The 14,935-nt window shown below is 48.5% G+C and overlaps 1 protein-coding gene across 6 annotated transcripts in view, besides 9 other annotated features; it reads right to left on the bottom strand.

Moving 5' to 3' along the window:
• The window catches only part of MAN1C1 (mannosidase alpha class 1C member 1), a 167,660-nt gene that overhangs the window by 73,863 nt on the left and 78,862 nt on the right, over nt 1-14,935 (bottom strand). Inside the window, exon 1 of one of the 6 annotated variants that reach the window (NM_001385185.1) lies at nt 14,337-14,433. The exons of the other annotated variants lie outside the window; for them this stretch is intronic. The gene's annotated coding sequence lies outside the window, so the exon portion shown is untranslated. Of the gene's footprint in view, nt 1-14,336; nt 14,434-14,935 lie in introns of those variants that run through there. 6 annotated transcript variants of the gene reach the window in all.
• Nucleotides 1,039-2,014: an enhancer, noted in NCBI's record as "NANOG-H3K27ac-H3K4me1 hESC enhancer chr1:26035065-26036040 (GRCh37/hg19 assembly coordinates)". NCBI's record gives its function as "activates a minimal SCP1, AML or CMV promoter by ChIP-STARR-seq in naive H9 embryonic stem cells {active_cell/tissue: H9 hESC(naive)}" and the evidence as "EXISTENCE:reporter gene assay evidence [ECO:0000049][PMID:30033119]".
• Nucleotides 2,015-2,990: an enhancer, noted in NCBI's record as "OCT4-NANOG-H3K27ac-H3K4me1 hESC enhancer chr1:26034089-26035064 (GRCh37/hg19 assembly coordinates)". NCBI's record gives its function as "activates a minimal SCP1, AML or CMV promoter by ChIP-STARR-seq in naive H9 embryonic stem cells {active_cell/tissue: H9 hESC(naive)}" and the evidence as "EXISTENCE:reporter gene assay evidence [ECO:0000049][PMID:30033119]".
• Nucleotides 2,991-3,966: an enhancer, noted in NCBI's record as "OCT4-NANOG-H3K27ac-H3K4me1 hESC enhancer chr1:26033113-26034088 (GRCh37/hg19 assembly coordinates)". NCBI's record gives its function as "activates a minimal SCP1, AML or CMV promoter by ChIP-STARR-seq in naive H9 embryonic stem cells {active_cell/tissue: H9 hESC(naive)}" and the evidence as "EXISTENCE:reporter gene assay evidence [ECO:0000049][PMID:30033119]".
• Nucleotides 3,967-4,942: an enhancer, noted in NCBI's record as "H3K27ac-H3K4me1 hESC enhancer chr1:26032137-26033112 (GRCh37/hg19 assembly coordinates)". NCBI's record gives its function as "activates a minimal SCP1, AML or CMV promoter by ChIP-STARR-seq in naive H9 embryonic stem cells {active_cell/tissue: H9 hESC(naive)}" and the evidence as "EXISTENCE:reporter gene assay evidence [ECO:0000049][PMID:30033119]".
• Nucleotides 6,068-6,568: an enhancer, noted in NCBI's record as "H3K27ac hESC enhancer chr1:26030511-26031011 (GRCh37/hg19 assembly coordinates)". NCBI's record gives its function as "activates a minimal SCP1, AML or CMV promoter by ChIP-STARR-seq in naive H9 embryonic stem cells {active_cell/tissue: H9 hESC(naive)}" and the evidence as "EXISTENCE:reporter gene assay evidence [ECO:0000049][PMID:30033119]".
• Nucleotides 6,569-7,069: an enhancer, noted in NCBI's record as "H3K27ac hESC enhancer chr1:26030010-26030510 (GRCh37/hg19 assembly coordinates)". NCBI's record gives its function as "activates a minimal SCP1, AML or CMV promoter by ChIP-STARR-seq in naive H9 embryonic stem cells {active_cell/tissue: H9 hESC(naive)}" and the evidence as "EXISTENCE:reporter gene assay evidence [ECO:0000049][PMID:30033119]".
• Nucleotides 14,356-14,650: a silencer, noted in NCBI's record as "tiled region #1026; HepG2 Repressive non-DNase unmatched - State 10:DNaseD". NCBI's record gives its function as "represses a minimal TATA promoter and a strong SV40 promoter by Sharpr-MPRA in HepG2 cells {active_cell/tissue: HepG2}" and the evidence as "EXISTENCE:reporter gene assay evidence [ECO:0000049][PMID:27701403]".
• Nucleotides 14,356-14,878: a biological region, named in NCBI's record as "Sharpr-MPRA regulatory region 1026".
• Nucleotides 14,379-14,878: an enhancer, noted in NCBI's record as "H3K4me1 hESC enhancer chr1:26022201-26022700 (GRCh37/hg19 assembly coordinates)". NCBI's record gives its function as "activates a minimal SCP1, AML or CMV promoter by ChIP-STARR-seq in primed H9 embryonic stem cells {active_cell/tissue: H9 hESC(primed)}" and the evidence as "EXISTENCE:reporter gene assay evidence [ECO:0000049][PMID:30033119]".

Raw genomic sequence — 14,935 nt, 5'->3', positions numbered from 1 at the left:
TCCCCACTCTGTAAAAAATTACAGAAATCAATAGGATTTTTAATATTAATAGTAATCTATAAAAGGTACTTAGAATAGCACTTGGCACACAGTACATGTTCAATAAATGTTAGCAACTATTATTATTAAGGTCTGTTCTGACACAGCTTTCTTAAACCTTTGGTGCCTGTTACCATTTGTCAGCCAGCAGGCAAGATGAATGAACAACAACAAGCACAGTGAACATTTACTGAATGCCTGGGCAGGCCAGGCTTTTACATATGACATTGCAGTTCATCTTCTCAACACTTGTTTGAGGTACCAACCCCATCTTACAGATGTGGAAACAGAGGCTCAGTGAGATTAATTTACCCAAGGTCAATAAATCTAGGAAGTGGCAGAGCAGGATTCCCACCCCAGCTGTCTGACCCATGCCAGTGGGAGAACAGCAATGATTACTCACCTCTGTTTTCTCCAGTGCTTAGCAGAGTATGGATTGAACAAAAATGCAGAATGAGTATATAAATAAACTTCCAGGGGCTCAACAAGAATATAGTGTTTCCAGCTGGGCTCAGTGGCTCATGCCTGTAATCCCAGCACTTTGGGAGGCCAAGGCAGGCAGATCGCCTGAGGTCAGGAGTTCGAGACCAGCCTGGCCAACACAGTGAAACCCTGTCTCTACTAAAAATACAAAAATTAGCTGGGCGTGGTTGCGGGCGCCTGTAATCCTAGCTACTCGGGAGGCTGAGGCAGGAGAATCGCTTGAACCCGGGAGGCAGAAGTTGCAGTGAGCCGAGACTATGCCACTGCACTCCAGTCTGGGCGACAAGAGTGAGACTCCATCTCAAAAAAATAAAATAAATAAATATAGATAGATAGATAGATAGATAGAGTTTCCTTCTGCTAGAAAGGCTAACGTTACGAAGACTGACAGTATCAGGCATTGGTGAGGAATCTTCATGCATTCCTCTACCCCTGCCACCCCAGGCCCTTGCAACTTAAAGGACATTTACTGTAACCAAGACGGCGGGGAGGCAATGCAGCCACATCTGATTAACACAACTGAATAGGGCTCACAGAGCCCTGGGTAAGAGCATGGGCTTTGGAGCTGGAGAGTTAGGGTGGACAAGAAACATCTGCGTGCCTGCCTCCCAGAACACTGGTTTGATTCAGTACTGTTACTTTTGACAGGACTCATTCATTGCTTCTGCAGACATTTATTGAGTACCTACTACATGCCAGCATTGAGGGCCTGGAGCTGCTGTTTTTATGACTGCAAAATAAGTAGGTGGCCCTGCTGGACTTTCCTAAACTCACCTAGCTTAGCCGGTCTTACTGCCTCCTCCGTGTTCTGCATCAGGTCTCTGAGTGTCCCTTCTCCTTGAGCAGTAAATGCCACCTACAATCCAAGGCATGGAGGACAGCCGTCTATACCGCCTTTCACTTCTCAAATAGGAAAACCTACTCTCTCCCTGATGATCTTCCACCCCCTTCAACCCTCCCTGGCTTAGTGCCCTGGGGTGACTTTCAGCCTAGTAGGTGTTAGGCTTCTGCATGGCGGTGGGCATCGGCTGTGTCTCATCCCTGCAGATGTATGGATTCCTGCGGTCCCTGGGGCTGGGCTCAGGAAAATGCAAGTGCCAAGACCCCAGTTGGAGTGGAATGAAATTTACCAGGGACTTTCTCAGATACTTTCCAAGCCAGTGGCTTTTTTTTTTCTTCTTTTGACAGCGTTTCGCTCTTGTTGCCCAGGCTGGAGTGCAGTGGTGCAATCTCAGCTCACTGCAACCTCCACCTCCCAGGTTCAAGTGATTCTCCTGCCTCAGTCTCCCAAGTAGCTGGGATTACAGGAGCGCAGCAACTGCCCAACTAATTTTTGTATTTTCAGTAGAGACAGGATTTCTCCACGTTGCCCAGGCTGGTCTCAAACTCCTGACCTCAGGTGATCCGCCTGCCTCGGCCTCCCAAAGTGCTGGGATTACAGGCATGAGCCACTGTGCCTGGCTGCAACTCCATCTTGAATAGGGACTGGGTAAAATGAAGCTGAGACCTACTGGGCTGCATTCCCAGGAGGTTAGGCATTCTTAGTCACAGGATGAGATGGGCGGGGGTAGCTGAAGATACAGGTCACAAAGACCTTGCTGATAAAACAGGCTATGGTAAAGAAGCTGGCCAAAGCCCACAAAAACCAAGATGGTGATGAAAGTGACCTCCCATTGTCCTCATTGCTCATTAGGCACTAATTATAATATATTAGCATGCTAAAAGGCACTCCCACCAGCGCCATGACTATTTATAAATGCCATGGCAACATCAGGAAGTTACCATATATGGTCTAAAAAAGGGAGGAACCCTCAGTTCAGGGAATTGCCCACCCCTTCCCTGGAAAACTCATGAATAATCCATCCCTTGTTTAGCATATGGTCAAGAAATAACTGTAAGTATATTCAGTCAAGCAGCCCAGGCTGCTGTTCTGCCTATGGAGTAGCCATTCTTTATTCCTTTACTTTCTCAATAAACTTACTTTCACTTTATGGACTCGCCCCAAATTCTTTCTTGTGTAAGGTCCAATGAACTTTCTCATGGGATCTGGATTGGGACCCCTTTCTGGGAACAAAAGGAGCAAACAGCTGCTCTCCTACAGCCAGTTCATGACTTCTGACAGGGTCCATCCTGGGGGTCCATCCCAGCCTCCCCCAGATAGGAACAGAAGCCACAATCCTTGCCCCAGGCAGTTCCTCATAGAGTGACTAAACAGAGGCTACAGGCCCTTCCTTTCTACTCCCAATATTTGTTTCCCACGCCTGCATCTTAACTGTTTGCAGCTGTCTTCCATTTGACAATTACAAGCAATGTAAATGCAGATCCAGGTCGGGTTTATCTCTGAAATCTCCAGGGCCTAATCCACTACTTGGATTTCTGTAGCGGTTCAACAGTGGCTCACTGAATGAACAAATGAATGAATGGTAAGTCCTGTCCAGTGGCTGGTTCATTGTACCAGGGACCCTGATGATAAGGAGGAAGAGGCGAAGTTGTTCAAGGTTACAGCAAAGCTCAGAGCAGAACAGAAGCTGACCTTCCCAACCTCAAGGCCTGAAGTAGCCTTTCCCAGTTGGTCTGCACCCTTTAAAAGCCCTCAAATGCATTTTCTCCTCCAGATCAAGTTACTTCAGAGGCAAACCAATTCTCTTGTTAAGTAAAAAGAATGTGAAAAGATTACGTATTGATTGCCTTCCTCCCTGGGTTTTACAGATAAAGCCCCCCTACCTGGGCTCTGCACAGAGCACTGATGGGCCAAGTGGCAGCTTGACGGTAAGTCCAGGGGCCAGCACTTTGAATGGTGTGATTTTAGTGCTTTGGAAATCTCTGCCTCGTGCTGATGGCTTTATACGTTGGCATTTCCGCTCCCTGAGTTTTAAAGAATAAGAAATCTGTGGCTGATCACATATTCAGCAACCAAGTGTACTTATTTGAAGACCCAAATTGCAGAAATAACTCATGTGATTAGTTGAATGAATATGAGTCTGGATCATCAAGCTCAATCTATGGATAAATCGGGAAGAGATAACTGGGCCAAGTGGAGGGCAAGCCCTCCCCATTCTGTCTCTTCTGCTGGACCAAGACATTCCCTGCAAGGCAACTAAGGTGGGAATCCTACAGCCCCTGCTGCTTGGAGATGGTATGCCCTATTCTGCCTGTGTACTGGAACCAGCCACACCCTGTTCCCCATGGCACAGGCAGCTGGAACTCTGATTATCCCCAAAGGACAGAGCCACTGACAAACAGCCAGGCCTAGTAGGGTCATGAGAGGAGGGCTCTGCTCTTACCTCTGGGCCACAAGCCTGTCTTAAGTGCTTGCAGGTGAGTAGTCTGTGCAAAACAGGTGGCCCGCTTCAGGGCCCTGGCCTTAGATTTGCCCAGTCTAGGGGCATTCTCACCAAGTAAATCACCCACATCCCCTGTCTAGCATTGTATCTCACTCAGCATTCTTCTTTTCCCAGAACACTCTCTGCTGAGGACTCAGACTCCCAGGCTGCCCTGCGCATGTCCAACTCTCCCTAGAATGGCCTGCAAGGATTCCCCCCCGCCAGAGTCCAGTCTCTGTAAAGAACCTGGTCTAGGGAGAGCACAGACTCTCCCAGCACAACTTGGCTGAGCCCCGACCAACACGCCCACAACTCCCCTAAGGCAGGTCTCCAGTGGCCACATGTTCCCGTCTCTGGATGGTTCCCTAGAAGGTACCTCCCAGGGACTGAGAATCCAGGAAGGGGTGCTAGATGCACATCTGGGTCATGTGGGACAATGCTTTGTGATCCTTCAGGCATGGCACAAACACTGCCGATTCTTCCTTCCCTGTTCCTGTTATGCAAGTGTGGGTGTGAGAGGACTCCAGGAGACCACAGGGTAAAGAGCTGGAAGAGAGGAAGCAAGGGACAGGCATCCTTATACCATGCAGCAAGGCTAAACAGACCTAACCTTTTGCATCAGAAGCTTCTGGGGTCAGAGAGCTTGGGTTCCAATACTGGCTCTGCAGTTTGCCAGCTGTGTGACCCCAAACAAGGTACCCAACCTCTCCATGACTCAGTTTCCTTATCTGTAAAATGTGGATATTTCTGTATAGAATCATGTGTAAGATTCAATAGATTATTTATTTATTTATTTATCTGACATAGGGTCTTGCTCTGTCACCGAGGCTGGAGTGCAGTGATGCAATCATAGTTCACTGCAGCCTCAAACTCCTGGGCTCAAGTGATCCTTCCACCTTAGCCTCTTGAATACCTAGGACTACTGGCATGTGCCACCATACCCAGCCAATTTTTAAATTTCTTGTAGAGACAGGGTCTCCCTAAGTCGTAGACTTTCCAGGTCTCCTGGCCTCAAATGATCCTCCTGCCTTGGCCTCCTAAAGTGTTGGTATTACAGGCGTGAGCCACCATGCCTGACTGATAATATACTTAAAGCCCTTAGCAGAGTGGCACGTGGTAAATGCTTGAAAATGTTAGCTAGTCCTGTTCTAAAAACTTATCCTAAGACAACACTAAGGCAAATGTGTAAAGATTAGTGACCCAAATTAAGACACTCATCTCACCAGTGCTTAGATTGGCCCAAAATCAGAAATAACCTAAATGTCCAGTAAATGCAATATAATAGACTATATAACAACAGTCCATCCATGTGATAGAATACTGGACAGCCATCGACTATGACACTTCAGGTGTTTACCATCTGACAGCTTCAGAAGATCCCAAAATACTGAAAAGTGAAACTGCAGGTCACAAGACGGCATTTATCAAATGATTCTGTGTATGCAGAAATACATATCTTCTCTTTCCTTTCTTCCTTTTTTTCAAAATACAGATTTATATCTGTTCATCTGTATGGGAACGCATCTGCAGGGATACACGGTAGTGGAACTTCAGCAACTTTTCCTTCTGGTTCTTGTTTGTAATTTCTAATTTCACTATAATGGGCATGTATTAAACTGATCATTTAAAAAAGAGAAAAAAACGGATCGAGTAATTTTAAGGGCAGAAAAGGATTTTCACACTCAGATACTTCCAACATAAATAAAGGGATTTGTTCAAACTTTATCACTCTCCAACTGAGAAGAGGCATGAAGACTGCAGCCTTAACAAGAGGGAAAATCCCACGCATTTTAAGGCTTTGCATTGGAGGAGAGGAGCTTAAAAATGCAAGTGTCTCCAGCTATCCTCCTGCATCCTTCTCCATGGCTCCGTCCCACGGAAACCAACTGGAAAATCAGCAACAAACCAGATAGGAAACATGCCTTCCTCTCAGATAATGCTAAATCAGAGTATCTGGATGACAACAGATTTTTCTTTTTTCTGGCAAAGAGACCCTGCCTGCTGAGATGAGAAAATTTGGGGGCACAAATCAGCTCTCTGTAAGGAGAGACATTTTAACAGGATCAGCCGGAGTTCGGGGAAAACTGCAAAGTCTAAGCATTCTTGGTGTCATAACTTTGTCAGCTGTGTTAAAGTTGACAAGATGCTTACCCAGCACCTCTACACATGTACCAAAGGGAAGTGGTTAAATGTGTAAGCCATAACAGCCATCAGGGATTCTCTAGCAAGCACGTGCTGAGCAGCCAAAGCCACGCTGCCAAGTGATGCCCAGATGTCGCTACTGCTTCCCTCTTATCTCCACATTGGGAGCCACATGGTCCTGCTGTCTGGGATTGGGTCTAAGGATAGGATATGGCTTGGTTCTGTCGGCCGCCCATTCCCAGCATCTGTACTGCAGGCCCCAGGCTGGCTTGGAGGCAGCTCAGAGGCAGCTCCTGCCTTCAGGAAGCCATTTCTATTGCAGAGCTGTTCTCCAAAGACAGAAACACAAGTCCAACTTACCTCACAAAGGCAGCAGCAGGACTGGGGGCAGGAAGGAAGTTTAATAAAGGGGCTGGGTGGCTAGAAAGAGGCTGTTCTCAGCCTCGGGAGAGATTAAAGGAGTGGGCCTGAAACACTGCGGGACTGCTTTCCTGGCTGGTTGCTATTGATCAGGGAGACGAGGAGAGACAGGAGCCGGGATGAAGGGACAGGCAGCCAGAAGCATGTGGCAGGGGCGTCTGTGGGCAGGCTGGATGATGGGATGGGCTTGGGCAACCAGGAACTGGGCAGACAGATCCCGCCAGTGCCCAAGAAGGTGGGCCCTTTGTGACCCAAAAGCTCCTTGGAGGTTTGTCCTACCCAAAGCATCCAAAAGCTTCTGGGTGGCCATGAAGGAAAGCAGGGCTGACATCCATCCACACCTCAGCCCCTTTCAATCACACTTCAGAAGCAGTGAGGAGAATCTCCTGTGATACCTTGAAGGTAGGATTAGCCCCCAGGCATCACATGGCCAGAGGACACCTCATTTTCACAGTTGTTCTCCTCCCATCTGCAGATCCCACTTTCATTTCTTTTTTTTTAGACAGAGTTTCGCTCTTGTTGCCCAGGCTGGAGTGCAATGGCACGATCTCGGCTCACTGCAACCTCCACTTCCTAAGTTCAAGCAATTCTCTTGCCTCAGCCTCCTGAGTAGCTGGGATTACGGACATGCACCACCACACCTGGCTAATTTTGTATTTTTAGTAGAGATGGGGTTTCTCCATGTTGGTCAGGCTGGTCTCGAACTCCCGACCTCAGGTGATCTGCCTGCCTTGGCCTCCCAAAATGCTGGGATTACAGGTGTGAGCCACCGCGCCCAGCCTACAGATCCCACTTTCACCAAACATCAGCTGAATGAAAACTCCTAGATGTGCCGGCTCCACTCACGCCTCAGGGCTGTTCTCCAGCCACCACTGCTTCCTGTGGAACTGGTGACCTGCCACACCTAGTAAAGTGGGACCCCCACCCAGGCAACAGCCTCAGCACCCACAGAGAGGGCAGGAGCTTCCCCTTTGCTAAAACACCACCTGAGCTAATGGGAGTGAGGGAAGGGGACCAATCACTTCAGGATCCTAACCCGGTTAACTGTGGCTCCCAACCTGGGTTGTGCATCAGAACCATCAACAGAGATGCTATTTTTAATGCAGATCCCTGGGCCAGCTCCAGACCCAATGAACCAGAATTTCTGGAGACGGAACATGGAAGTCTACATTTGCAAAAGCCCTGCAGGCAATTCTGATGCTTCCTCCTGGCGAAGAGCAGCACAAATTCATCCAAACTGTTCAATTCACAGAGTCTGAGTCCCAGGGAAGGGTGAGGAAAGTGATTTGTCCAACGCTACATAGGCAGTCACTGGCACGCAAAGATGCCACCCAACTCTCCTGCTTCCCTGGGCAGCTTTGACAATACTAATGGTAAAGATAATGGTAATCATGATGACAGCCACTGCTATTTATTGGTACTACTTTAAGCCCTTCACAGTGTATTAACTAATTGGATTTTCACAACTACCCTATGAGGTAGGTACTATAATTCCTATTTTTCCAGAAGAAATTGAGGCACAGAAAGGTGAATTCACTTGCCCCAGGTCACACAGCCAGAAAATGGTGAACCAGGCCCCCTGGTGCCAAAGCCTGTGCTTCTGTTTAACTGCTTCAAATCCCTGGGATCCTCCCTCCAGGGTTTTGCTTCCTCCCCATTTCAGTGAGTTGAGCTGTAGACTCTGGTATGTTTTGGGGGGATGGGCCCTGAGGAGCTGCCTGGCTTTGCTCCTTGGAGGAGAAGGAAGAGCTGCAGCCCCGACCCTCAGAGCCTGGGAGAGCCCAGGGAGCGTGCCTCTCCACTGACTGTGGGACCCACTTTTGTACTTACATCTGGATCTGGGCGAGTTTCATGTCCTGGGAATTCAAGGCCCTTCGGATGAAGCCACACTGCCAGGGGCGATGTGGGCCCTGCTGTCAGCTCTGGCTAAGAATGAGAAGCGGCTTGCCCTGGTCCATCTGGGTGCTCAAGTTCTTTCTAAGCAGCCCCACGGGGACATCCTCTTAGGCCGGCGATCGTCATGCATTAGCCTCCTCTCGGGTGTTTGGGATTTTATCCTTCTTGGTTTGGGGGATGTAACTAACTAATTTGGCTTTACTTTTATTTACTTATTTATTTTTTGAGACAGCATCTAGCTCTGTCACCCAGGCTGGAGTGCCGCGGTGAGATCTAGGCTCACTGCAACCTCTGCCTCTCAGGTTCAAGCGATTCTCCTGCCTCAGCCTCCAAAGTAGCTGGGATTACAGGTGTGCACCACCACGCCCGGCTGATTTTTGTATTTTTAGCAGAGTTAAGGTTTCTCCATGTTGGCCAGGCTGGTCTTGAACTCCTGACCTCAAGTGATCCACCCGCCTGGGCCTCCCAAAGTGCCGGGATTGCAGGCGTGAGCCACTGCTCCAAATCATGGCTTTATTTTTAAAGCCTAACAAGGGAGGAGGGACACAAGGGTGAAGATGAATAGGGTCAACAGAGGCACATCGCACGCCCTTTGAATCAATGGCACACACACAGACCCTGTTTTGCTGTTTATCATCTCCAAATACCCCAAAAAGTGCCACCTGGGCCAATACCATGTGTTGCTGCACAAGGTAAGTTGAATAGGAGGTCCTGCCTGTTGGGCAGTTCCCAGTCCCTGAGGCAGAGGAAACAGGGAATGTGGGCGTTGGAGGCAGACAAGCCTGGCTGTGACCTGCTGCACACCTCTTTGCCAGGTGTGCAGGCCTGAGCAAGTCACCTCCCTTTCAGCCTCAGTTTCCTCATCAGAATGACACCCACTTCAGAGTTACTGTAAGCAACACATGAAACTCACAGGAAGGGGTCTGCACTAGCCGGTGGGCACCCATGGCTATGCCCTTCCTGCCCAGCACTAGAACTCGAGTTCTCAGTGGGTTTATTTGCCAGCTTTTGTGACAACAATGCAAAGGGACCCTTCCCATGGTGCCTGAGCAGGTGCAGGCTTTCAGGCCCCTGGGCTGGGGAGGAAGCCAAGGACCAAGGGCAGGGCTGCACAATGACTCCTCTGGTCCCGGCAATGGTGCCTTTGCCGCCCCTTCCTCCATAAACGAATATTAAAATGATCCTTGACAACTGCATTGGCATAAAGATGGATATAATCCAGGCTGGCTTCATTATCATGTTCGCTTTTTCTCCTCGGATTTTAAAAGAAATTAAAATGAAAACATTTTTGTGGGCCCTAGGCGCCAAGCCTAATGGCGAAGTCAGCCCTGTGCAGACAGCCATCTGGGGGGTGCCTGGCTGGTGCCGAATGCCCCAAGAGGCCTCTTCCTTCCAAGCCTGCATTCCCCGCCTCCCACCCCAACCCCATCTGCAGCACCAACACTGCCCAGCAGGGCCTCCTACGCTTGGCCTGGCCTGTCCCCCGACCTGTCACAGAGAAATTTACTGATGTCTGTCAAAATCTACCACCCCAGCCTACCTCCTCCCAGCCTCCATTCAAATTCTAGTATCTGTGTGATTCCCTGGCACTGAACTGTGGGGAACTTTATGAAGACACTTAAAGAGTTCGAGGAGTATGACAAGCCTCTCTTCTTAAATGCCCGCTTTCTCATAGATGTGTTCCTTAGGCCGGCATCATGTCTGGTAGCACAGGGGGATGGCCTGTGTCTTCTCTCCGAGGAGCCCACTGTGTTCTGCTCATTTTCACATCCTCTGCCCAACTCTGCTCCCAGCTCCCAGCCTGGTAGAGAGAAGGTCCTCAGGACAAACTTGCAGAAACTGAAGAAATTATTCAAATAAATTCTCCATGTCCCCAAGCACTGTCAGTTTCTTGTTGCAAAACAATCTCCAGATGCATTTCTGGGCAAGTGCTATTTCAAGAGGAGCATTATCTGGGAGCCATGCCCTGCGTGCTAGAAGGAAGGCAGGGAGCCAGGGTGACTCCTCTCCTCCGGGTCCTAAATATTTGCGCAGCCATTGGAGGGATTAGACAGCAGCAGTTATCCCTACATGGTCTATTCCCAGAATTCAAAGTTATTGGGGGAGAAAATGCAATTGTGCTTTATCCAGTCATTAAAAACAAAAACAACAACAAAAAAACAAGGGCAGTGGATTTCCAACTGCCTTTCAGACTTTGATGAAAAGAAAAACAAACTTGAGTATTAGCACCAAATTGTGCTGACAACATACTTCCGGGGCTCTTTGTCTTCCTCCGGGCTCTCTTTTCAGAATTTTTCAACAATTCCTATTGATCCCTGCATAGTTCTCATGCTGACCGTTTATGCTTGGGAGAACAGCTGTCTGTGGAGCTTGGAAACAGATCTGCCTGCCTCAGAGGCCCCGAGTGGCAGCGGGAAGTGAAGCCCTGGCTCCCACCTTCCAGAGAGGTGGCCATGGCTCAGTCTCCACTGGCTGTGGGGCCGGCATGGGGCCACTGTGACCCATGAAGCACCTCTGTCTCCAGGGCTGACCCTGCTGTCTGCCTGGCTGCACCAGGCTGTCATCAGCCAGGATGAAACACACCCAGTAGTGGCCCAATCACCTGCTATTTTAGGACCTAGAAGTAACTCAAGAGACCATATGCCAGACGCCCACGCTCTGTGATGGGGATCAGGCCTCATCTGGGTGGCAGAGTCGACTGACGGCTGAAAAGCAATTAGAAGGCAGGTATCCTGGCTCTTGGGACCTAGAGTGGGGAGGAAATACCAGGAGCTGCATTTATGACCCCATTTATATGCCAGCACCACTCACAGATGGTCTCTTACCATGGCCCCCACCCAGTACAGCCACACTGAACATCTTTTAGACCCCAAGGGGCCGAGGTCTTGCCACATCTCCCATCTAGGACTTTGCCCATGTGTTTCTGTGCCATAATCCCTCTCTCATGCTTCTTCTTCTTCTTCTTTTTTTTTTTTTTTTAATTTAAGATGGAGTTTCGCTCTTGTTGCCCAGGCTGGAGTGCAATGGCGCAATCTCAGCTCACCGCAATCTCGACCTCTCCGGTTCAAGCGATTCTCCTGCCTCAGCCTCCTGAGTAGCTGAGATTACAGGCATGTACCACCAAGCTCAACTAACTTTGTATTAGAGATGGGGTTTCTCCATGTTGGTCAGGCTGGTCTCGAACTCCTAACCTCAGGTGATCTGCCTGCCTTGGCCTCCCAAAGTGCTGGGATTATAGGCGTGAGGCACTGCGCCCAGCCTTTCATGCTTCTTCATTCATGCTTCCAGTCTCAGTATGGAGGTCAGCCTTCCCAAGAAGCTTTTTTTTTTTTTTTCCAAGACAGAGTCTTGCTCTGTCTCCCAGGCTGGAGTGCAGTGGCGCGATCTCCACTCACTGCAACTTCCGCCTCCAGGGTTCAAGCAATTCTCCTGCCTAGCCTCCCAAGTAGCTGGGGTTACAGATGCATGCCACCATGCCCAGCTAATTTTGTATTTTTAGTAGAGACGGGGTTTTACCATGCTGGCCAGGCTGGTCTCAAACTCCTGACCTTGTGATCTGCCTGTCTCCACCTCCCAAAGTGCTGGGATTACAGGCATGAACCACTGCACCCGGCCCCAGTAAGCTTTTTTGAAGCTCACCCCTCCAAGAATGAGTTGAGGAGCCCTTGGTGTAAGCCTGTACCTCACAGCACTCGCACGGACGGTCTTCACTGGAAGTATGATTCATGCGTCTGTCTCCTCACTGGCCGGGGAGGGTCACAGAGCGTCTGTCTTGCTCCCTGCTACTTGTCTTATGCCTAAACAGTCTGTAGCGCATGGCAGGCACTGAACAACCACCCGCATGAAGGAACGGTCTCATGAGATCCCAACACCAATCCTGTAAGAGGGCATTATCATCCCCATTCTACAGGACAGAAAACTGAGGCTAAGAAAGGAAACGTGATCCCTGCCCAGTGAGTTAGTGGTGGGGCCAGGGTTTGAAGAACCCAAGCCTCCTGACTCCTAGGTCAACACTTTCTCCATTAATACCCCTATCCTGGTACCAAACTGGAGAAGCTCTACTTCAATAGAACCTTAAGCCTGTCACACCAGAGCTGCAGTGGAATGGGAAACAGAGGCCACCCCATGGCACCAGGGAGTGTGAAGAGAAGAGGATGAAGGAAGACTTCACTGATTGCTCCTGCTGCTGCAAGAAGCACTTGAGGCAGCTGGTGTGGGAGCCCCAAATCACCCGTAAGTGAAGGCAGGAAGAGCAGGGACCATCTCTAGACCAGCGCTTAGCAGGCAGTGCAGGGGAGCTCTGGGCCAGGAAGCTGGGGCTTTGAACATTGTGGGGTTTGATGATGAGAGAGGCAGCATTCAGCAGGAGGCGAAAGTTAAACATACTGACAATAGCAAGCACTGGCAAGGATAATGGGGCAACTAGAATTCTCACACACAGCTGGCAGAACTACGAATTGGTTAACTACTTTGGAAATCTGGCAGCCTCCAACTAAAACTTAACATACCAATACAGTATGACCCAGCAATTCAAATCCTAGGTGTATTCCAACATAAACGACTCCTCATTTCCACCAAAAAACATGCACTGAAGTGTTCGTAACTCTTAAACACCCCTGGTGGGAATTTAAAATGGTGCAGCCGCTATAGAACAGTCTGGCAGTTCCTCAAAAAGTTACATGTAGAGCTACCAAAAGAGCCAGCAATTCCATGCCTAGGCATGTACCCAAGAGAAATGGAAACCTATGTCTACACAAAAGCTTATACATGAATGTTCGTATCAGCATTATTCATAACAGCAAACAAACGTAGAAACAATCCAAACGTCTATCAGCTGCTGAATGGACAAATAAAATGTGGGATATCCATACAAAGGAATATTCCTAGGCAATTCCAAATAACACTAGGAATGAAGTACTGATAATACATGCTACAATGTGGATGAACCTTGAAACCTTATGCTTAGTGAAAGAAGTCAGTAACAAAAGACCAGATACAGTATGATAGCATTTATATGAAGTGTTCAGAACAGGCAAATCTATACAGAGACAGAAAGTAGATTAGTGGTTGCCTAGGGCTGGGGAAGGGGGGAAAGAGGATGAGAAATGAGGAGTAACTGCCATTGAGTACAGGTTTCTTTCTGATATGATACAACCAAATCCTGAAAATAAAAATGTCCAGGAACAGAACGGAAAGAAAAACAGGAAAAACAAACTAGTGTTCATGATACAATAACAAGGAAAAAAGCACGCCATAAAAGAGTACATGCAGTATAATACAGAATTTTAAAGCAGACAAAACTAATCTATGGTGATAGAAGTCAGAATAGTGGCCACTCAGTCAGGCATGGTGGCTCACGCCTGTAATCCCAACACTGTGGGAGGCTGAGGCAGGAGGACCCCTTGAGGCCAGGAGTTTGAGACCAGCCTGGGTAACATAGCAAGACCTCATCTCTACAAAAAATTTAAAAAATTAGCCAGGCGTGGTGTCCCGTGCTTGTAGTCCTAGCTACCCAGAGGCTGAGGTGGGAGGATTGTTTGAGCCCAGGAGTTAGAGGCTGCAGTGAGCTATGGTCACACCACTGCACTCCAGTCTGGACAACAGAGCTAGACCCTGTCTATATTTAAAAAAAGAAGGAAAAGAAAAGTAAAAAAAGAACAGCAGCTACCCTTGGGGAGCTACAGACTAGGAGGGACCTGAGAGAACCTTTTAGGGTGATGGAAATGCTTTTAATCTTGACCTGCATGGCAGTTACACAGAGGTAACTATATGTAAAATCCATTAGACTGTGCACTTAAGATTTGTGCAATTTAATGTAGACATGTTATAAGTTATACCCCAATTTTTAAAAAGTAATTTTAAAACAAAAAAAAAATAGAGGCTCAAGTTAGAAGACCAGGGTTCGATCCTGGCTGTCTGACCTCAGGTAGTCCCGGCCCTCTCAGGACCTGCCTCCCGGTCCTCAGACACTGGACCACAGGCTACAAAGGATCCAAGTGGCCTGGTAGTCTGAGATTCTGGGAATGCACATACCTATTTGTCACAGGGTTTGCTGGGAAACTTGGCAAGTGCTGCCATCAATGCGGTGAGAAGAAAAGGAGGCTCTTGCTGTAGGCTCAGCCTTGTTTCTAAGGAAGGAAAGGTCTTCGCAAAGTGGGCGGAACACGCTGCCACCAGGAGAGAATGTCAATTTCAATATGAATCATCTCCTACATCCCCAGCAACTTGCTCTGGGAATAGACACCCTGACTCACTCCTCTCCTGACAGGAACAAGACTTGTTGCTGAAATCTCAGATTCCAAGAAGACCAGCCCAATACCCCCTTCGAAATGAAAAAGAAAGAAAGACAGAAAGAAATCAACCTAGTAACCAACCAGCAGTCACAGAACCCTGGGCAGAGACAAAGCAAACCCCTTTGTACTGATGAAGAGACGAGGCCCAGAGGAGGCCGGCTCACTCGGCTGCTGGCGCCAGAGCGGGGACACGAACCCAAGGCTCCTAACCTCCAATTTTCTTTTGACAACAACTTGCTACTATATTTTCTAGAGAAATAAATTATGCTCTGTGCTAGTGGAAAGCCTTTTAAAGAACAAGAAAATGGCCAAGATGCATCTTAATTAGAAACTGCTTGG

The sequence above is a fragment of the Homo sapiens genome, chromosome 1 (assembly GCF_000001405.40).
Source record: "Homo sapiens chromosome 1, GRCh38.p14 Primary Assembly".
NCBI classification, from domain to species: domain Eukaryota; kingdom Metazoa; phylum Chordata; class Mammalia; order Primates; family Hominidae; genus Homo; species Homo sapiens.
This window is presented reverse-complemented; position numbering and strand designations above follow the sequence as displayed.